This window comes from Homo sapiens, chromosome 1 (assembly GCF_000001405.40).
Source record: "Homo sapiens chromosome 1, GRCh38.p14 Primary Assembly".
Taxonomy (NCBI): domain Eukaryota; kingdom Metazoa; phylum Chordata; class Mammalia; order Primates; family Hominidae; genus Homo; species Homo sapiens.
In genome coordinates this window covers 223,802,583-223,824,505 of record NC_000001.11, presented here as the reverse complement: position 1 = coordinate 223,824,505, position 21,923 = coordinate 223,802,583, and the positions used below count along the sequence as shown (strand labels likewise).

General features: G+C 40.0%; 1 protein-coding gene across 5 annotated transcripts in view; it reads left to right on the top strand.

Moving 5' to 3' along the window:
* TP53BP2 (tumor protein p53 binding protein 2) overlaps window positions 1–21,923 on the top strand; it is a 66,055-nt gene that overhangs the window by 21,442 nt on the left and 22,690 nt on the right. For 2 of the 5 annotated variants that reach the window (NM_001031685.3, XM_047429498.1), the window contains exons 2-8: window positions 3,139–3,286; window positions 10,153–10,266; window positions 13,993–14,075; window positions 17,559–17,660; window positions 20,158–20,332; window positions 21,054–21,235; window positions 21,611–21,775. In NM_001031685.3, coding sequence (NP_001026855.2) covers window positions 3,139–3,286; window positions 10,153–10,266; window positions 13,993–14,075; window positions 17,559–17,660; window positions 20,158–20,332; window positions 21,054–21,235; window positions 21,611–21,775 — 969 coding nt within the window. Of the gene's footprint in view, window positions 1–3,138; window positions 3,287–6,168; window positions 6,301–10,152; window positions 10,267–13,992; window positions 14,076–15,380; window positions 15,400–17,558; window positions 17,661–20,157; window positions 20,333–21,053; window positions 21,236–21,610; window positions 21,776–21,923 lie in introns of those variants that run through there. The other 3 variants (NM_005426.3, XM_011544268.3, XM_011544269.3) reach the window with 3 other exon arrangements.

Genomic DNA, 21,923 nt, shown 5'->3' with positions numbered 1-21,923 from the left:
GGAGTTTGAACTAGATCTCCTGCCTGGGAATCGACAAAAATAGCGTGTTGCTGGCCCAGCATCGCGGACTGCAGTACAATTACTAAAATCACCGCAGAGCTAATCTCCATACATTACAGGTAGAAGCGGGGTCAACTCGTACACTTACTGTTCATACCAGTGTTAAACCTGTGGGAAAAGTAACCATAAATAGAACACATCTGTCATCATTCTTATTTTTAATTGTACTTTTAAATAAATGAAGCTGTTGGTTTTCCAGAAAGTAAAAGATCAGATCTCTGTTAAAGTGTGGGTAACTGTGGTTAAATGGAGCATTTCCTAGTATTTTCTTTCTATAAAGGACAGCTTAAAGAATAGAGGATAGATCAGAAAAACAGAATTGTACCTTTCTCATTTCAGTAGGCAAATAGATCACTTATCTGAGTCTTTTTCTTCATTTATAAAGAGAAAATAACACCTGCTGTTTATCTGAGAGTTGATGTAAGTTTCTGAGATAATGTGTCTGAAAGATGAAGTTTACAGAGGTAAGGTGCTATCTTACATAATAGGCTTTTATTTGTTGATAAGGTGTGTGTTTAGCATATACTCTGTATTTCCAGTATTTCTGTAACTTAACACCTCTAAGCTTCATATTTACAATGAAAAGTTACTATTTTCAAAGTGATAAACTTCAAAGCAAGTTTTTGCATCGGTAGGGAGTATGGAGAGGGAGTATTTAATGCTAAAGTGTACATTATTTGTCTCCATCACTGAATATGCTGTATACTTTGGGAGCAGCAGACGAGTGTACTTCTGTGCTTTGTTAATCGTTTTATTTTTTCAATGATTTAGTCAAGGCTTTATGATTTTTGTGTAATAATTTTGAGTGCTGCCTTGTTGGCTAAGTTGAACTCTAGAACTGTGTACCTTTATGTAGTCAAAATGTGAAAAGCCTGAGATAATTAGCTTGAGAGCTTTTGAGCTCATACTGGGAAAGTCTACAGTGTTTTTTTATTTTTCCATTAAAAAATTGTTTCAACAGTGTTCACTATTTTAATTTTTCTGGATTACCCTCTGTTATACCTGTTCATGTGAGTTAACAGCTTTGGTTGCAGAATGTGGAGGCTTGGACTGGCTTGAGTGCAAGGGTCCGCTCTTTCTCTCATGTATATCTCCTCTTTCTCTGACCAATTCTTGAGGCACCGAGTCTGATGTCTTAGCCAGTTTCCATCATCATCCCTAATCCGGTGCTGCCTTTTCCCAAGCAACATCTTAATGCAGCTTTCTCCACTTGGGGGTAATGGGCAGAGACATTTAAGTTGGAAGGGGAGTTGTGTGACTGTTGGTAGGCCCTCCAATTGCTGTGTGATGTCCTCCTGTCATTGTGGTCATAGGGTATATCCTACTTATTCTGCTTTTTTGCAGTCTTAAAACCCAAACTTTTCCCAGTGCTTAGCATAGTTTCATTAATGATTTTAAAAGACTAAACTTGTCCCTCAAGTTTATGTTCCATAGGTTATGCATTCTCTTTCTTTGATTGGAATTATTTTCACAGGATGTATTCTCACTGTGAGGTAACGCTTTCAAATTATTATTTTTTAATCCTGATACATACTGACTTGCATGGAGTTACTCATTGAATTGAATAAACATAGAGCCTTACTAATTTGCATCACTGTCGAAAACTTGTTTCCTGTTTCACTTCGTTTCTTCAGCATTGGAAATTAACAAGATTTTTTTTTTTGTAATTTAATAGGTGTGAAAAATTTAATTCTTTAGTAGCAGTGTTTCTAAGATACAGTGTCTTTTTTTACTAGGAGAAAGATTGTCAAGATTGTTAGGTTTTTTTGTTGTTTTTTTTTTTTTGAGTCAGGGTCTCACCCAGGCTGGAGTGCAGTGGTGCAGTCACTTCTCACTACAGCTGCGACCTCCTGGACTCAAGCAGTCTTCCCCACTCAGCCTTCCAAGTAGCAGGGACCACAGGCATGTGCCACCATGTCTGGCTGATTTTCTTTTAATTTTTGGTAGAAACGGAGTGTTGCTTCGTTGCCCAGACTGGTCTTAAACTCCTGGACTCACATGATCTTCCCGCCTTGGCCTCCCAAAGTGTTGGGATTACAGGTGTAGGCCACTACACCCAGCCTATTAGTGAGTTTTAAATGTAAACCTTCTGTTGGTCTCAGTGTTTATATACAAGGTCAGGTAGGTGTTAACATAACAGCTACTCATTTCTACTTATACTTTGTTAATGAAATCTTGTACTTCAAAGTAGGTATTTAATTTGCTTAAAACATTTTAGAAGTACAATTTTTTGGCCGGGCGCAGTGGCTCACGCCTGTAATCCCAGCACTTTGGGAGGCCGAGGTGGGTGGATCACCTGAAGTCAGGAGTTTGAAACCAGCCTGGCCAACATAATGAAACCCCGTCTCTACTAAAAATACAAAAATTAGCCAGATGTGGCATGGCGTGGTGTGGTGTGATATGGCATGCGCCTGTAATCCCAGCTACTCGGGAGGCTGAGACAGGAGAATCACTTGAACTCGGGAGGCGGATGTTGCAGTGAGCCGAGATCATGCCACTGTGCTCCAGCCTGGGAGATGGAGTGAGACTCTGTCTCCAAAAAAAAAAAAAGTACAATTTTTTGAATAGGTAATATATGTACATTATATAAAGATTAGGTTTATACAGAGCTGCCCCACAAGCTCTGTTCCCTCCTGCTTCCACTTCAGAAGCAGCGTGTTACATTCTTACGTGTCCTTCCAAAAAAGAGACTGTGCATAAATAAGTATATATGGATGAGGTTGTCGCATCAACCTTTACAGGATTGACAGGAAGATATATTTGTAGTATGGGTCCAGCATATATAAGTATTTGGCAAACAACATGAATAAAACTGGCAAAAACAGATTTAATTTGAACTGATGTGACTGTATTCTAGGGTCACCAAGGGTTCTAGAGCTACTGCCCCATGGTAGGGGCTGGGCTCCAGGTCTCCCTCAACCCCCAGTCCACACCTCACCTTTGGCCGGGTGACAGCCAGACTGTTCTGTTGTACGTTTGCACTTCCAACTGAGATTTTGTTTGGAGAAAGGAATTTAAGGTGAATACCACATTAGGCAGACAGTACCAGTAACCATGTGTTTCTCTCTTAATTTTTAGATGTTTCTTACCGTGTATCTCAGTAACAATGAGCAGCACTTCACAGAAGTTCCAGTTACTCCAGAAACAATATGCAGAGACGTGGTGGATCTGTGCAAAGAACCCGGCGAGAGTGATTGCCATTTGGCTGAAGTGTGGTGTGGCTCTGGTGAGAGACGCTGACAGCCTCGTGCTTTAGTTCTTCTGTCTTCTATTAATGTTGGTTTGTAGACGTGGCACTGTGTGAATGCTCATGTTTCTCCGGGGAGAAACTGGAGAATAGCACGTCCGGCAGAAATAGTGTTCCTGATCCAGCTTTGGTATGATACATGAAGTCTTTTTCGGTTTTCTTTTTCTCCAATAAAATGGAGACACCACAATATAAAATACAAAAGGTCATCTGGGCTGTTGTGGTCCAGTGGATGGTGCTCAACAGTGTCTTTGTATGTGTAAGCTTTACTTAATTAGAAATTTGAGGCATCCTAACTGGTTTGCCTTCTCTCAATTTCTGTAGGTTTTTAGAGGAAGCTACTCAGTGTCGAGGAACTGTAGTGGCAGACAGCAGTGGTGAACTCGTGGGCATTATTGTAAGCCTTGAAATCAATCCTTCTGTATGGTTCTTTGGAGCTCTAAAATGGGATAGCCTGGTTTCTTTTTGGCTCCATAGGAGGTGGTAGATGTGGGAGTAATTTTTCATCATTTCTGCCTTGTTCCTACACAGGCTGGATGAACTCCTGCTGGTTTCCTTTTTCACCTCTGGGGATGCCAGATATCCCCAGAGCAAGTCACACACTGTGTTAATTGAGTTCATGCCATTCATGATAGCTAACTTCAGCTGAGCCCCCACTTCTTTTCAGGCAAGTCCTTTTATTCATCTTTGGTTAACTTTTCTACAGTTGGATGTTCTAGAAGGTCTTCTGCAGTCTCCGAATTACTTTCTTTTCTGTTTACATAGGAACCAGATTAGAACAATCACATGAAGAAGCCCAAGGGATCTTTTGAAAATGAAAATTAGATAATTTCACTTTCCTGCTTAAAACTAGCGACTTCTCCTCCACTTAGAATAAAATCCAAACTTTTAATATTAGGTTGTGAAGTTCTGTAGATTCTTTGTCTTTGCTCTTATCTGGTACCATTTTCTTCTCTGCTTCTTCCTGCAGCTTTTAAAATATTTCTCGAATATGCTAAGCTCATTCCCACCTTAGAGTCATTGGTGATAGCCATTCCCACTGTTTGTATTGCTCTGTCTCCAGATACTGTCATTGCTGGTTCCTTCTGGATTGCAGCTAAAATGTTAATCTCCTTCTGGAGAGGCTTTTCCTGAGCACCCTGCCAAAAGTAGCCATGAAGTTAGTTCTCAGTTACATCATCCTGATGTAATCCTCTGCAGAAGGCCCGTCACTCTTTGTGTGTGTTTATTAGTTTATTGCTCCTTTTATCCTGATAGCCCCAAACATATGCACTAGAATGTAAACTATTTAAGGGTAGAGACCTTGTTTATCTTGTTCACTGCTGTATCCCCAGCTCAAGGGGAGTGCCTTGTACCTAGTAGATGCTGTAGAAATATTTGCAGAATGAGGAAATGAACTTCTAGCTGCTCCTGGTAACCTCCTTGCATTTAGCAAATTACCTTGCTTTATTCTTTACTGAGATAATTGAAACCATCCATTGTGTGCTTCCTCAGTTTTCTTTTTTCTTTTTTTGAGATGGAGTCTCACTCTGTCGCCCAGGCTGGAGTGCAGTGGCGCGATCTTGGCTCACTGAAAGCTCTGCCTCCCAGGTTCACGCCATTCTCCTGCCTCAGCCTCCCGAGTAGCTGGGACTACAGGCACCCGCCCCCATGCCCGCCTAATTTTTTGTATTTTTAGTAGAGACAGGGTTTCACCGTGTTAGCCAGGATGGTCTCGATCTCCTGACCTCGTGATCCACCCGTCTCGGCCTCCCAAAGCGCTGGGATTACAGGTGTGAGCCACCGCGCCTGGCCCCTCAGTTTTCTTACTCTTTACCTCAGATTCTCTCTGTGTGTCTCCATTTTCTTCTCATTTTCATAGAGGAAGAAGTGTTCTATCTTTGCCAGGGCTGTACTCTGTTCCTTGATACTTTTGATCCCACTTATTCCTCTTGCTCACTTGAATTTAATAACCTTTACTATGTGATGATGACATGTAAAGGATTTTCTTTCTTACAACTTTTTTTTTTTTTTTGAGACAGAGTTTCGCTCTTGTTGCCCAGACTGGAGTGCAATGGCGCGATCTCGGCTCACTGCAACCTCCGCCTCCTGGGTTCAAGCAATTCTCCTGCCTCAGCCTCCCGAGTAGCTGGGGATTACAGGCATACGCCACCACGCCCAACTAATTTTGTATTTTTAGTAGAGACGGGCTTTCTCCATGTTGGTCAGGCTGGTCTCGAACTCCCTATCTCAGGTGATCCGCCACCTCGGCCTCCCAAAGTGCTGGGATTACAGGTGTGAGCCACTGCATCTGGCACAACTTTTTAATTAAAAAATTTTTGGCCGGACACGGTGGCTGACGCCTATAATCCCAGCACTTTGGGAGGCCAAGGAGGGTTGATCACCTGAGTTTAGGAGTTTGAGACCAGCCTGGCCAACATGGTGAAACCCCGCCTCTACTAAAGTAAAATACAAAAATTAGCCAGGCATGATGGTGGACACCTGTAATCCCAGCTACTGGGGAGGCTGAGGCAGGAGAATCCCTTGAACTCAGGAGGCAGAGGTTGCAATGAGCTGAGATCGCACAACTCCACTCCACTCCAGCCTGGGTGACAGCAAGATTCTGTCTCAAAAAAAAAAAATTTTTTTTTAATGATAACACCGATATGTGTTCTAGATTTTTTTCTTTTTCTTTTCTTTTCTTTTTTTTTTTTTTTGAGATGGAGTCTTGCTCTGTCACCAGGCTGAAGTGCAGTGGTGCGATCTTGGCCCACTGCAACTTCCGCCTCCTGGGTTCAAGTGATTCTCGTGCCTCAGCCTTCCGAGTAGTTGGGATTACAGGCACGCGCCACCACACCAGCTAATTTTTTTTGTATTTTTAGTAGAGATAGAGTTTCATCATGTTGGCCAGGATGGTCTCGATCTCCTGACCTTGTGATCCGCCTGCCTCGGCCTCCCAAAGTGCTGGATTACAGGTGTGAGCCACCACGATCAGCCTCTAGTGTTTAAAAAAGGTAATAATATAAACAGAATGGATGTCTCTGTCCTAAGCGATTCCCCTGATCTCTTGATGTAATCACTTATGATTTTAGCCAGATAATTCTCAGACCTTTTCTCTGCATTTATAAGTAACTGTAGAAATATTTTTGTGTTGTTTCTCCATTTTTCCTTTATGTAAACAGTAGCATACATATCAGTGTTCTCCAGTTTACTATTTTACCTTACAACATAGCTTGTAGATCTTTTCTTTTCAGATTAGTATGTGTAAATCTGTATCTTTTTTTTTTTTTTTTTGAGACTGAGTCTCACTCTGTTGCCCAGGCTGGAGTGCAGTGGCACCATCTCGGCTCACTGCCATCTCTGCCTCCTATGTTCAGGTGATTCTGCTGCCTCAGCCCCCTGAGTAGCTGGAACTACAGGCGCCCACCACCACGCCCAGCTAATTTTTATATTTTTAGTAGAGATGGAGTTTCACCATGTTGGCCAGGCTGGTTTTGAACTCCTGACCTCAAGTGATCCGCCTGCCTCAGCCTCTCAAAGTGCTGGGATTACAGACATGAGCCACCACATTATTTTTAAATTATCACATAATTTCCCCCAGTATGCATAAACTATAGTTGAGCTAACAATTGCTTTATTTACAAATATTTAAATAAATTATCTTGTTTTAATAAGTGCTGCAGTAAAAATCCTTTTAGGAACCTCTTCTGATCCTATGCAAGCATTTCTCTAGGGGGTGGATGCCAAAAATGGAATTCTTTGGTTAAAAGTTCATACATTTTTTAAATTTTCAAAAAAAATTTTGTTTTTCTTCTTCTTTCTTTCCCTCCCCCTCCTCCTTTCCCTCCCCCTCCTCCTTTCCCTCCCCCTCCTCCTTTCCCTCCCCCTCCTCCTTTCCCTCCCCCTCCTCCTTTCCCTCCCCCTCCTCCTTTCCCTCCCCCTCCTCCTTTCCCTCCCCCTCCTCCTTTCCCTCCCCCTCATCCTTTCTCTCCCCCTCCTCCTTTCCCTCCCCCTCCTCCACATGCAGTAATTGATGTGAAATATTTTATTTTTTTATTGAGACAAGGTCTTGCTGTGTCGCCCAGGCTGGAGTGCAGTGTGATTCAGTCTTGGCTTGCTGCAGCCTTGACCTTCTAGGCTCAAGTGATCCTCCCACCTCAGCCTCCTGAGTAGTTGGGACTATAGGAATGTGCCACCACACCCAGCTAATTTTTGTATTTTTTGTAAAGATGGGGTTTTGCTATGTTGCCTAGGCTGGTCTTGAACTCCTGGGCTTAAGTGATCCTCCAGCCTCAGCCTTCCAAAGTGTTGGGATTACAGGTGTGAGCCACTGTGCCTGGCCAGGCCACACATTTTTTTTTTTTTTTAATGTGTATATTTAAGGTATACAACATGATGTTATGGGATACCCATAGGTAGTAAAAAGGTTACTATCATGAACCACATTAACATAAAGGTTCACACATTTGAAAATGTAATATATATTGTCAGATTTCCTTCTGCAAAGGTTATATCAGTTCATACCCTTTCCAGTTATTTCTAGATGTATTCCTCATCAAGTTATAATATTTTAACTTTTACTAAACTGATAGCTGAAAACCTGACTTTTGTTTAAATTTGCATATTTCTGATTTCAAATGTGGTTGCCTGTTTTTTCATTTGTTCATTGGCCATTTGGCTTTTTGGTTTTTGAAATTGTTTCTTTATATTCTTTGCTCATGTTTACTCTGGCTTTTTCCCTTCCCTCTTGATTTGTAGGCATTTAAAAACCATTCAGGATCTTAGGCCTATTAGTGTGTTATTAAAAAAAAAATTCTTATTCCAGAGGTGTAAATGTGTTCCCCTATTATTTAATTCTCTAAGTGTTTAGCCTTTCTTCTCCTCTCCTGTCTTGTTTCCTTTTGCATTTCCTCACTACCCACTCGTGTATTTGCTTAGTGAATATTTCTCGGATGCCTGTTATGTGCTAGGGACTGCACTTGATTGAGAGGGATACAGAGATGAAAGTTGCCTTCAGGTATCTTACAGGGCACAAAGAGAAACAAGTATCCACAGACATTTATAATACAATGTGATAGTTGCAGTAATAGATGTATTTCATCTGCAGGAGAAAAGGGTGCTGGGGGAGATGATGAATGATAGGAATGGCATGTTCAGAGTCACATAGGCAGGAATGCCCTGTCAAGGAGATACAGTCATGTGTCAATAATGGTGATACGTGCCGAGAAATTTGTCATTAGGTGATTTTGTTGTGTGAACATCATAGAGCGTACTTACACAAATCTAGATGGTATAGCCTACTACACACCTAGGCTATATGGTATACAGCCTTTTGCTCCTAGGCTACAAACCTGTACAGCATGTTACTGTATTGAATACTGTAGGCAGTTGTAACACAGTGGTACATATTTGTGTATCTAAACATAGGAAAAGGTACAGTAAAAATATGGCCTTAAAATCTTATGGGACCACTGTCAACATGCAGTGCATGACCGTAGGTGTGGCTGGCACATGAGTGTTAGTAGGGAGCTTTGAGAGCCTTTAAGTGTCTGTTTCAGCTTATGCAGGCCTATGCCTGATCTTTTGCCATCACAGGGCCATCGGGATGTTAGCCTAGAGCTTGTGAGAAGTCCATATCTTTCTGGGGCAGTCCAGCGTGGACAGCAAGCTACTTTACTTCCTTTGAGTTCTCTCTTTGCTCCTGGAACCTGGAGATTTTACTTGTTTTGAGTACAGCATGTGTGTGTGTATTTTGTAGGGGTGGGTGGAAGGGCTACTCAGAATTTCTTTTGGAGGTGTTTCTCTCTAACTGTGGTGTATCCTTTTTGGGGGAGGTCTTAGAATATGTGTGGTTTATAAAAGGGGATTATCTATGTCAACTCAGTATGTTATGTTACTGGAAGTAGAACCAGAACTGCATTTTGTTGCAGCCAAGCAGATTAAGTTCAGGGTTGGTTCACCAAATTGGCTGGTGAATGCTTGCCTGCTCTGTTCTCTGCCCATGTTTATTTAAGGTGTTAAGATAGTGTCCTTGATTACTGATAAATGTGTTGAGTTTTCTTAGGGTATTTCAACATTCTTATATTTAAAAATCATGTTGACATTACTGGAGTTTCATTGATTTTAAGCAATTGCCTCCTCAAACAGTGTGTCTCGTTTTTATATCCAGATCCCTTGAGATTGGAAGATTTTTTTAGGACAGCTTGAGATATATTGTTTCTCCTGAAGCTTCTATTTTTACTAGGTATTTAGGTGTGCCCTTCTTTTTGTTTCCAGAAAAATTCTGACACTGGTATTCTCACTGGAAGAGGGGCAAATATAGATACATTTTACAGCAGTAAATAGACTTTTATTTGGAAATGGATGGGTCTGATTTTTTTAAATATTGTTTGTAAAATTATAATTTAAAAATAGCCTGTATTGAAAACTACAATTAAAAAAAAAAGACTAGGCTATTTAGAAAGTTGCTTTTTAATATTTTCTTTGTATATTCGGAGAATCATGAATATTAGTGTTAGAAGGGACTATGTGATCTAATATAGATTTTACAGAAACTTTTGGAACCACAGAAGTTAAATGGTGCACCTGTGGCCAGCGTGGAGCCCACTGGATTTAGACTGCTGAGCTCCTGACAGCTGGCTGAGATGCATTGCCTTTTGTAGTATTCCACCCTGGCTTGACTCTGTGTGTGTGGAAAATCTGTGTGACTTCAGTTTCTAAGACGTGTTTTAATGAAAAAAATTTACCTGAGATACTAAGCATTTGTTGTATCCATAATGTATAATTTGCATGAAGGATAGATGGTGAATGATATATTTATCTTTCTTTTACCTGAAAATAATGTGGTTTCTACTCATTTGCTTTAGAACGTCCAGTTGCGGATAATGAGCGAATGTTTGATGTTCTTCAACGATTTGGAAGTCAGAGGAACGAAGTTCGCTTCTTCCTTCGTCATGAACGCCCCCCTGGCAGGGACATTGGTAGGTAGTGCTCTGTGAATCGTGACAGATATTTAAGCTTTTATTTTGTGCTGGGAGTAGTAGGTGGCACATGATGAGAAGCCAGGTAATTTGAGAGGTGAAGGAGAGGTTAGGAAGTGGAAACAGTGGAGATAGGCTGTCGAGGGGAGAAGTTTGACTATAGTTGTTTAATGCAGGTGGGAAGGAGTCATTAGAGCAGGGGGTTGAAACTATAAGAAAGGAAATACTTGTTAGGCAGGGTCCCTGATTAGGTCCTTCCACAGCCCTGAGGCAGAAAGTCCTCTTAGACAAGAGGAAGGATCCCTCTTCCATAATAACAGGACAGAAATAAAACTGTGGCAGATGTGGCTAAATTTGTGCATTTTGTGGGAGTAAGTTGAGGGATTTCTCATCTAAAAACATTTGTTTTCTCTGAGGTAGGAGTGATGATGGAGGTGGGTGGGAAGCTGGAGCTGTTTTGGAGATTAGGAGAGAGGGCTTACTAGGGAAGCCAGACTGCTGGGAACCATTGAGGCCAGTTGAGATTAGAGACCATGAGACCATACATGATTTTTCTCCAGTGGTGGTCTACAGCCCAGGTGGGTTGTAAGAAGAGAAGAAAACAAAGGTGTCTAGACAAATTTTTCTAGGCAATTGTCTAGAAAACCCAAGGTTTCTAGACAAATTCAATGGGAGTTCAGTGGGACAGGGGAGAAGAGGGTATTGGCAAGGTGATACCTTAGCTGGGTGGGGAAGAAGTGAAGACAGGAGGGGCTGTGGGGAAAGAGTAGACAGAGTTAAGAGGCTGTGAGTCTCAGTTAGATGAAAGAACAGGTGTGAGAGGAAATGAGTGAGACGCCTGAGATTGAAAGGAAATAGTGGTCAAAAAACAGAAGGTTTGAATTGAAAATTTCGGAGGTAGAGGGCTTCTAGTGTTGTGGTCCCAGGTGGGGCCCTGAAATGAGGCTGAATTAGAGTGGAGACGAGAAAGCTAGAACTGAGAGGCTAGCATTTGGGCGGTAATGTCATCCAGAATGAAGGCAGGACTTGGAGGTGGAGAGAACAAGGGAGTCAGTTGGTCACATCGTTAGTGACCAGGGATTGTGACCAGAGTTTATAGATGACTGTAGGGGGAGGGTGGAGAGAGAGTGTGGGTGGGAAGCAGCAGTAGACACTGGGGACACAGCCATCCCTGTGACCCAGCAGTCTTGTAGGATGTGGGAGAACGAGCAGGGTTATTGGACATTACAAAAGCTCAGTTTTGGCTGAGCGCGGTGGCTCATGCCTGTAATCCCAGCACTTTGGGAGGCTGAGGTGGGTAGATCACCTTAGATCAGGAGTTTGAGACCAGCCTGGCCAACATGACGAAACTCTGTCTCTACTAAAAATACAAAAATTAGGCCGGGTATGGTGGCTCACGCCTGTAATCCCAGCACTTTGGGAGGACGAGGCGGGAGGATCACGAAGTCAGGAGATCGAGACAGACCATCCTGGCCAACATGGTGAAACCCTGTCTCTACTAAAAATACAAAAATTAGCTGGGCATGGTGGCATGTGCCTGTGATCCCAGCTACTCGGGAGGCTGAGGCGGGAGAATCGCTTGAATCAGGGAGTTGGCGGTTGCAGTGAGCCGAGATGGCACCACGCACTGCAGCCTGGCGACACAGCAAGACTCATCTGAAAAAACGAAAACAACAACAACAACAACAACAAAAAACAAAAATTAGCTGGGCGTCTGTAATCCCAGCTACTTGGGAGGCTGAAGTGGAAGAATCGCTTGAACCCGGGAGGCGGATGTTGCAGTGAGCCGAGATCACACCATTTGCACTCCAGCCTGGGCGACAGAGCGAGACTCCGTCTCCAAAAAAAAAGTTCAGTTTTATTAACTAACTGTTGCATTAACGCAAGTGTCTATATGGTACCTGACCATTAGGAATGATTAAATTTATAGTACGGGTTAGCTGAGGGGCAGAATTGACTTAGTTTGGCCCCTTCTACCCTACAGATGAGAAATGCTGATACTTAGGGGTTAAGTGACTTGTCAGAGGCCACACACCTAGAGGCAGAGCCAGGAGTGGAACCTGAATCACCTCAGCCAAGCTACCTGGTTGCCTTTCAGTATCACTGGTGTCTGTAATTTTATTTTAAGTAAACATGTATTTTTTTCCGTAGGCTTTTTTCTTTTTTTTTTTGTAGTTTTATATTGGCATTTGCATCTTATTTTTTTTTTTGTTCTCTATTTACATCACATGCACTCATCTAATTAGTTGAATTTTACCCATTCATCTACCTGTTCAAATATCTTGCTGTATAGTACTGGATAAATTATTAAATAGTCTCTCAATAGTGCAATATGCAGTTTCAGTGTCAGTAATGTGAGAAATATAATCTGAAGATAAAGGAGCTGTTTTCACGTTGTCACAAAACACCAGTGCCACATAGTGTTGAAATTGGGATAAAACAAGGATTGTTTTTCAGTCTCCTTTATTAAGGTGTTAACTTACTGTTTTTGGTCTAGACCTCTCGATTAAGGATTAGGAGACTGTCACCATATTCTTTTTCCAATTCAATTAGGACCTGTGACCCTGAATGTATATGAAATTATGTTTAAGGCTCTTATTGCTTACTTTAATTAGGTAACTGATGATACAAAGGAGAAACTAGTTAAGTGCTCTCTCTTTAAGACAGCAAAGAAAGCAATTATTCTGAAATTATAGAAGTTTTTTTTTCTTACAGAAATATTGTGGCAGATTACCTGAGCTATTTTGCCAGATAATTGAGCTGCATTTTAAAAATAAAAGCTGATCATATTAGAATTAGGTGCAAGTGTGATACTTGGCTCTGAGTAGACATGTTTATTTATTTGTTTATTAGCAATGGGAATTTGTGCTAAGATTCCTGACAGTTATAATAGACATTTTACTTAAGTTTCTTGGGAGGTAATTTGATAATTTTTTTAATTTCTGGGAAGTACAGGTATGAGCTTAATATATTTTTAAAATTCTCTGTTGGTATTATTTGCTTCTTATAATGTATTAGTTTAAATTAAGACGTTTCCTTTTATGATACATTAAGTGGTACTGAAAGACCCATGTATTTTGGCTTTAAAAATTCTTTTTAGCCAAAAAAGCAGAATATATAGTGTTTCTGGATAGTACCTTCACAAACTTAAACAAATATTTTGCTTAAATAAATGTGGAAGTACCTCATAGTACTTACAAATTACCACAAAATGTTTGCAATAAACCAAATAATTAAGATACTACTTGTTCCTTTTTTTAAGTGCTTTCTTCTCATAATAAGTTAAAAATATTGTTAGCGAGTACAAGGATGCATTGATGTAATTTTCAACTATTTCAGTGAAGTTTTTCTTGGTTTAACTACTGAGTAGCTAAATAGATGACTAGGAAGAGCAACTATAAGCAAATGGTATGAATTACTCATAGTCAGAAGTACATTACGTTTGTTAATTTTTCCTCCTTTGGTATGTGAATCAGACAGCTTTCCTAATGAATAGGTGGCATGTGATATTTAGTAGTGCTGAGTATTCACTGTTCCATGAAATTAATTTTGCAAAACACACTGAGTTATGAGACCTTAAGTCCATTGCTATTAGAAAATATTTTGTTTTAAGAATACATTCAACTTAAAATATCAAACAGTAATGACAGAACTCAGAAATGAACTGGTTCTTAAAATATCTGTCAACTCTAGTGTTAATGCATAGTTTTTGAATTTTGTCCTTAGTGAGTGGACCAAGATCTCAGGATCCAAGTTTAAAAAGAAATGGTGTAAAAGTTCCTGGTGAATATCGAAGAAAGGAGAACGGTGTAAGTTGTTGTTTTTATCCATACTGTATATACCACAGTGATACATATTTTTTAACTTTAAATCTTATTCATTATTACTTTGTTATTCAATGGGCTAAGGATGGCCGCTTTTTAAAGGTTATTTTAAATTTGTTTCATAGAAACTATTAATTTTAATGATCTGTATATGGCTGACTATTGGAAGAAGTTGTATGTTTAATGTGACACAAATTCAGACAAAATAAATGCTGAGCAAGTTTGAGGAAGTATTTCTTATTTGGTGATTTTATTTGTTGCAATCATCACTTTATTAAAAATGCAAAATTGGCCGGGTGCAGTGGCTCACGCCTGTTATCCCAGCACTTTGGGAGGCTGAGGTGGGTGACTCACCTGAGGTCAGGAGTTCAAAACCAGTCTGACCAACATGGAGAAACCCCATCTCCACTAAAAATACAGAATTAGCCGGGTGTAGTAGTACATGTCTGTAATCCCAGCTACTCAGGAGGCTGAGGCAGGAGAATCTCTTGAACCCGGGAGGCAGAGATTGCAGTGAGCCTAGGTCGCGCCATGGCACTCCAGCCTGGGCAACAAGAGTGACACTCTGTCTCAAAAAAAAAAGGAAAATTATATATTTATACTCTCGCTATTGCATGTGAATTTGAGCATGCATCTTTGGTATATTTTGAAGACATTTCTTTTCAGCGGTCACTATTTTTAGTGCCATTAGGGATTAGCTAAACTACCTTTCTCCAATCATCAGTACATTTATAGTAGAATTCAGATGATCTTAAGTACCATTTTCTCCTACTGTGTCTTTCTTCAGATTCTTCTTTTTCTTTTCTTTGATTTACTTATTTTTATTTTTATTTTATTTTATTGTTTTCTGGGATGAAGTCACATTCTGTTGCCCAGGCTGGAGTGCAGTGGTGTGATCTCGGCTCACTGCAACCTCCACCTCCTGGGTTCAAGCGATTCTCCTGCCTCAGCCTCCCGAGTAGCTGGGATTACAGGTGCCTGTGACCACACCCAGCTAATTTTTGTATTTTTAGTAGAGTCGGGGTTTCACCATGTTGGCCAGGCTGGTTTCGAACTCCTGACCTCAAGTGATCCACCCACCTCTGCCTCCCAAAGTGCTGGGATTACGGACGTTAGCCATGGTGCCTGAGCTTTTCTTTGATTTAATAATTATCTTACAATGATGAAAAGATGAAATGCAGATGATAAAAATGATCTTAGCCGTTGTTTTAGTGCATATGGACACAATGTATCTTCTCCTCCACCAACTAGAGGCTGAGGCATGAGGATGACTTGAAGCCAGAAGTTTGAGGCTAGCCTGGGCAACAAAGTGAGACTGTGTTTCTATTAAAGAGATATATTATATCTTTATATATATATTTTTAAAAAGCTGCAAAGTGTTTCCAAAGCGATCATATTATTTTACATGCCCACCAGAGTTTTACTGTTTCCACATCCTTGCCAAAGTTTGGTATGGTCAGTCTTTTTAATTTTAGCCATTAAAATATATGTGTAGTGGTATCGCATTGTGGTTTTAATTTGTATTTCTCTAATGACTAATGATTTTGGACATCTTTTCATGTGCTTATTTGCTCTCTGTGTCTCTTCTTTGGTGAAATTATTTGTTCAAATCTTTTGCCCAATTTTTTGCTCTCTCACTGAGTTTGAAAGTTCTAATAGTCTGGATCCAATTTTTTTTTTTTTTTTTAATGGAGCATACTTTTAGTGTTGTATCTAAGAACTCTTTGCCCAACCCAGGGTCATAGAGATTTTTTTTTCCTTTGTTTTCTTTTGGAAGTTTTGTAGTTTGCAGTTTTACCTCTAAATCTATGATCCCTATTGAGTTAATGTTTGCATATGGTGTGAGAATCAAAGTTCATTTTTTTTTTTTTTTTTGATACAGAGTCTCACTCTGTCGCCTAGGCTGGAGTGCAGTGGCGCGATCTCGGCTCACTGCAACCTCCACCTCCTAGGTTCAAGTGATTCTCCTGCCTCAGCTTCCCGAGTAGCTGGGATTATAGGCACCTGCCACCATGCCCAGCTAGTTTTTATATTTTTAGTAGAGATGGGGTTTCACCATATTGGTCAGGCTGGTCTCGAACTCCTGACCTCAGGTGATCCACTGACCTCAGGTGATCCACCCACCTCGGCCTCCCAAAGTGCTGGGATTACAGGCGTGAGCCACCGTGCCCGGCCCTGAGGTTTATCTTTGTAATATGAATATCTAATTGTATAAGCAGTATTTATTGGAAAGATTATTCTTTTTTCCACTCAGTTGCTTTTGCACCTTTGTCTAAAATCAGTTGCCTCATGTATGTGGGGCTATTTTTGTACTCTCTATTCTGTTTGATTGATCTACTTGTCTATTTTGACGTCAATACCACATGCATTGGTCACTGGAACTTTTATAAGTCTTGAAGTCAGGTAGTGTAAGTTTTCCAGCTTGATTCTTTTCAGAGTTATTTTGGCTATTCTAGATGCTTTGTACTTCCATATGAATTTTAGAATCAACATCAATTTTTACAAAAATGCCTGTTTGGGTTTCAGTTGAGATTTTGTTGAATCAATTTGAGAATAATTGCTGTCTTGACAGTATTGAGCTTCCAATTCATGAACATGGTGTAACTCTCCATTTATTTGCATTTTCTTTCAGCAGTTTTTGAGATTTTAGTATATACATCTTACCTATTTATTAAATTTATCCCTAAGTATTTCATATTTTTGATACTATAAATGGTATTTAAATTTAAAAATTTTAAATTTCTAATTGTTTCTAATATATTGAAATGCACTTGACTTTTGCATATTGATTTTTTTTTTTTTAATCCTGCAGTCTTGCTATGTAACCTATTTATCTGGTAGCTTTTTTGTAGATTCCATAGCATTTTCTTCATAGATGATTATATTGTCTGTGAAGGCAGTTGAACTTCTTTTTTACCAATCTGGATGCTGTTTATTTCTCTTTCTTGTTTTATTGCATTGGCTAGAACCTCTAGGACAATGTTGAATAGATGTTGTGAGAGTGGATGTCCTTGCTTTGTTTCTGATGACTCAATGTGTCTTGAATTTTTTAGTGCTAAAGTATTTTTAAATGATATTCCAATGACTAAATTCTAGGTTTGCTGCCAGTGCCTCAATACCATGTTTAATATGATCAAACACTTCTGTTGTAATATAAATTACAGAACAAGGTAATTCTGAATTGTTCCATTTATGTCCCTGACTGTTGAAACTATTTAATTTTAAACTTGCAACTTAAAATAAAAGATTATTGTATATTAGTGTGTTTTACATTACATCTTAAAAAGTCAATGTGGTGAGTATTAATATAAGAATTAATGGTCTGCTTGATATTATGAAAGAAAAATCGCTAAATAATTTTGTCATAGTTGGTTCATATGAAGCTTTTACATAGACCTTTGAGGGCGGAATCTCTGTGGTAGTTTTATAGTAAGCTGGGATTGTGTTTATTTGTGTTTTTACTTGTAGGTTAATAGTCCTAGGATGGATCTGACTCTTGCTGAACTTCAGGAAATGGCATCTCGCCAGCAGCAACAGATTGAAGCCCAGCAACAATTGCTGGCAACTAAGGTAGTATCGTCCTTTTTTTTTGGAGATGAATGCTCACTCTGTCGCCTAGGCTGGAGTGCAGTGGCACGATCTTGGCTCACTGCAACCTCCGCCTCCTGAGTTCAAGTGATTCTCCTGTCTCAGCCTCTCAAGTAGCTGGGATTACAGGCAGACGCCACCACACCTGGCTAAATTTTGTATGTTTTGTAGAGATGGGGTTTCACCATGTTGGCCAGGCTGGTCTCAAACTCCTGACCTCAGGTGATCCGCCCACTTCGGCCTCCCAAAGTGTTGGGATTACAGGCGTGAACCCCCGTGCCCGGCTGGTAGTATCTTCTTTTAAAAGAGCTAACAGGCCACTATTGTTAATATATGTGTAAGGCTATTTACATTCTACCCCCATTAAGCCAATTACCTCACAGATATGAGGTAACATTATCAACCCAAAAGCCACCTGCTGTTTGGTGCTCTCTTTGTGCTCTCTTTGAGTCCTTACTATAGCATTTTGTAGAAATCCTTGTATCATCCTAATTGTTCAAGATCTTTCTGACTCCTGATTCTGATCAAGATTAACCATGCTATGATGGGTATCAGCCAGACAGGAAAGGTGGAAAGAGCCCTTCATCTTTGCTTCTAGGAACTACTCTGGGCCACAGCAAGAGGAATATTAAAGTTCTAACATGGTATAACCATACCATAGATTAATCTTGGATCAGATTAATCTAATACTGTCCCCTTCTGGAGCTTGGCACCAATAACGGGCTGCTTGCCTTTATTTGGGGAACATTCTTTATCCACAAACTAACCCTAGTCCTGGCCTTGAACAAGGAAAATATAAGAAGCCACTCCATTACCATCAGAACTGCTGCTTCTCCTGCCAGCCATAGGCTTCCAATCTGACCCAAAAGCCAACAGACCTTTCTCTGTAAAGGGCTACATAGTAAATATTTTGGGCTTTGCAAACTTTGCTGCCTCTGTTGCAACTACTCAGGTCTGCTGTTATAAGCAGTCATGGATAATAGGTAAACAGATGGTGTGGTTGTGTCCCAATAAAACTTTACTTACAAAAACAAGATAGCAAGCTGGATTTGGCCTGCAGACTATAGTTTGTCAACCCCTGGTCTAAACACCCAGGATCCACAACTAACAGTCCTTTAGTGATTATCAGGTCACTGAAGCTGGGGTAGACAATTGTTGGTTTGTCATGGGCAAAGTTACCCAATAGGGCTTTGAAATAATGGCCAGGAATTCTTCAAGGCAGTTCTCAAGGCAGTGTGGACTTCATGTCATACTTCCTAGGGTTCCTGTGCATCCATTTCTGTTTGTAATACCAGACCCCAGTTTTTCCAAAATCATGCATATCATTGCTTCTCAAACCTTAAGATACATATGAATCACCTGGGGATCGTGTTGAAAATGCATATTCTGATTCAGTAGGTGAGTTGAGGTTTGAGCTTCTGCATTTCTCACAAGCTTCCAGGTGATGCTGATGCACATTACATTGAGTAGCAAGGATATATAGTCAAAAAGATTGGTTGTTGAAGAACAAATTTCTAAGCTTTTTAGTCTTCAAGGACTTAAAAACAAGTCCTTGTGGGTTTTTTTTTCTTTTGAGATGGGTTCTCACTGTGTTGCCCAGGCTGGACTTGAATTCCTGGGTTCAAGTGATCCTTCTGCCTTAGCCAGGGTTTTTGTTTTGATTCTTTCCATGTTACTTATATGTTCTAGGCATACTAATCTAAGAAATAGTTTACCTGTGATTATAAATTGTGTGGCTCTGTTACTCAGTTTTAGTTAAAAATTTTAATGTAATAAAAACAAAATTTCTGCTATAACAAAAGTACCTTGGGGCAGGGGAAAGAAACAATTTCAGATTCCATGATTGCAGCTTTCTAAAGGTGTTAAATATTTCTTTAGCTCTTTTCAGTGACCATTTATTGAGTATATACTATGTAAAATATCATTCAAAGACATTTACATTTCACACTTCATTTAATCTTCACTATAGTAACATTGGTAGTTACTATTGATCATCCCTGTTTTATAGATGAAGAAACATAGACTTGCATGCTTGGTGAGGTTATGCAATTTGTTCAGGGTCTCATAGCTAATAAGTGGTAGAGCTGGGTTTGAATCTAAATGTACTCCAAATCTTGTGCATTTAAATAGTTTCTTATGATGCTTCCCATTTCTACATGAGCTGCTTTTTAAAATTGTTGCAACAGTTTATGAAAACTAGTTCAAGAATTGCTGCATCCTTGCTGCATAAGAACCACTTGGGTTAAAAATACTGATTCCTGGATCTTATCCCCAGAAGATTCTAGGGTGGGCTCAGGAGTATCTGTTTTGAACAGACTTCCAGTGTGATTCTGATGGCAGTGTTTAGGAAGAAGGTGAGACCAGACCAGGGTTACAAGTGTACCTCAATCTCAACATCTAAGTGTTGCAGTTAGGCTATTTTGAGCTTAGTGGTGTACTTACCTAAAATGACATACCTAATGATTACTTTTATTTTTAGGAACAGCGCTTAAAGTTTTTGAAACAACAAGATCAGCGACAACAGCAACAAGTTGCTGAGCAGGAGAAACTTAAAAGGCTAAAAGAAATAGCTGAGAATCAGGAAGCTAAGCTAAAAAAAGTGAGAGCACTTAAAGGCCACGTGGAACAGAAGAGACTAAGCAATGGGAAACTTGGTGAGTTGTTCCTCATAGATTTACTTTTTTATACATTTATTTGTCTGGTTTTTTTGAGACAGGGTCTTACTGTGTTGCCCAGGCTGGTCTTTTGAACCGTGGCCTCAAGTGATCCTCCCACCTCAGCCTCCTGAGTAGCTGGGGTTACAGGTGCAAGCCACCATGGTTGATCTGTAGATAACTTTAAAGGGTATCTTTTGAAAAAATATAATTTACTGCAGTTTTGATGCTGCAGGTTCCTCTGAATTGAATTCAGCTGTTGAATGTTTTATACAGGATTTCTAAGATACCTTTGGAAAATGTAGCATTTTTTCCCCTTAATATTTTTTGACTGAGAATTTGATGAAGGCAAGGATTTTTATTCATATAATAGCTCCATCTATTACGATACCATTTTATTCAGAATGTTTGTGGTTTAATAGATCCACCTAATGTTATAAAATTGAAAGTTCTAAAGAAATTTTTATTGTTTCTAAAATTTGGAGTTTAATAATATTTTTAATGCAAATTCTGATAAATATACATTGATATTGAAGCACAGAGATTTAGAGATGTCTCTGTTGATTTCACTTGCTTCTAAAAGAAGTCGGTTGCTTCCAGGACATTCTGAAAAATTTTTCTACTGTTTATTAGAAAGTTCATTGTAAAGCCCGGTTGCCTGGGAAGTAGTCCATTCTTATTTTTCTTTTCAACTGTTGTTGCTGTTCTCTGTCTCATCTAGTGGAGGAAATTGAACAGATGAATAATTTGTTCCAGCAAAAACAGAGGGAGCTCGTCCTGGCTGTGTCAAAAGTAGAAGAACTGACCAGGCAGCTAGAGATGCTCAAGAACGGCAGGATCGACAGCCACCATGACAATCAGTCTGCAGTGGCTGAGCTTGATCGCCTCTATAAGGAGCTGCAGGTAGACCGTAGCTGTTTGCCAAAAGCTGTACAACCTCCTTTCCAGAAACAGAGTTGCTCATATAAGTAGCAAGAGGTGCTAGATTTCAGTTGCCTTTCCTTAAAGAGAAGGCAGGTTGTGGGGGGAACCCAAACTCCAGAGAATCCAGAGTAAACTTTATAGTACCCTAGACAGGAAATTTGAGACATTCCTCATAACCACAGCTGGTGGTCTTGCACAGGTGTCACTTAATTTTAAACCATGAGATGAGAAGTGTGGAGGGGTGGAGGGACCTCATATTTTTAGAAATTATATAATAGTTAACCATGTGATTAACTGTTTGAGACATTTTCTTCCTACTCCTTGGCTACCTTTTTTCCCCTCTCTTTTATTCAGCTAAGAAACAAATTGAATCAAGAGCAGAATGCCAAGCTACAACAACAGAGGGAGTGTTTGAATAAGCGTAATTCAGAAGTGGCAGTCATGGATAAGCGTGTTAATGAGCTGAGGGACCGGCTGTGGAAGAAGAAGGCAGCTCTACAGCAAAAAGAAAATCTACCAGTAAGTGGGCCGTTTTGTAATGGTTTTGGGGAGGAGGGAAAAAGATGACCAGCCCAGTGAGGTTACTCATAGGCATCTTCTTCAGAATCATTACTCAGTGTGCCCTCAGAAAACAGATGCTGTTTATGGATCCTTAAAAGACAATCCG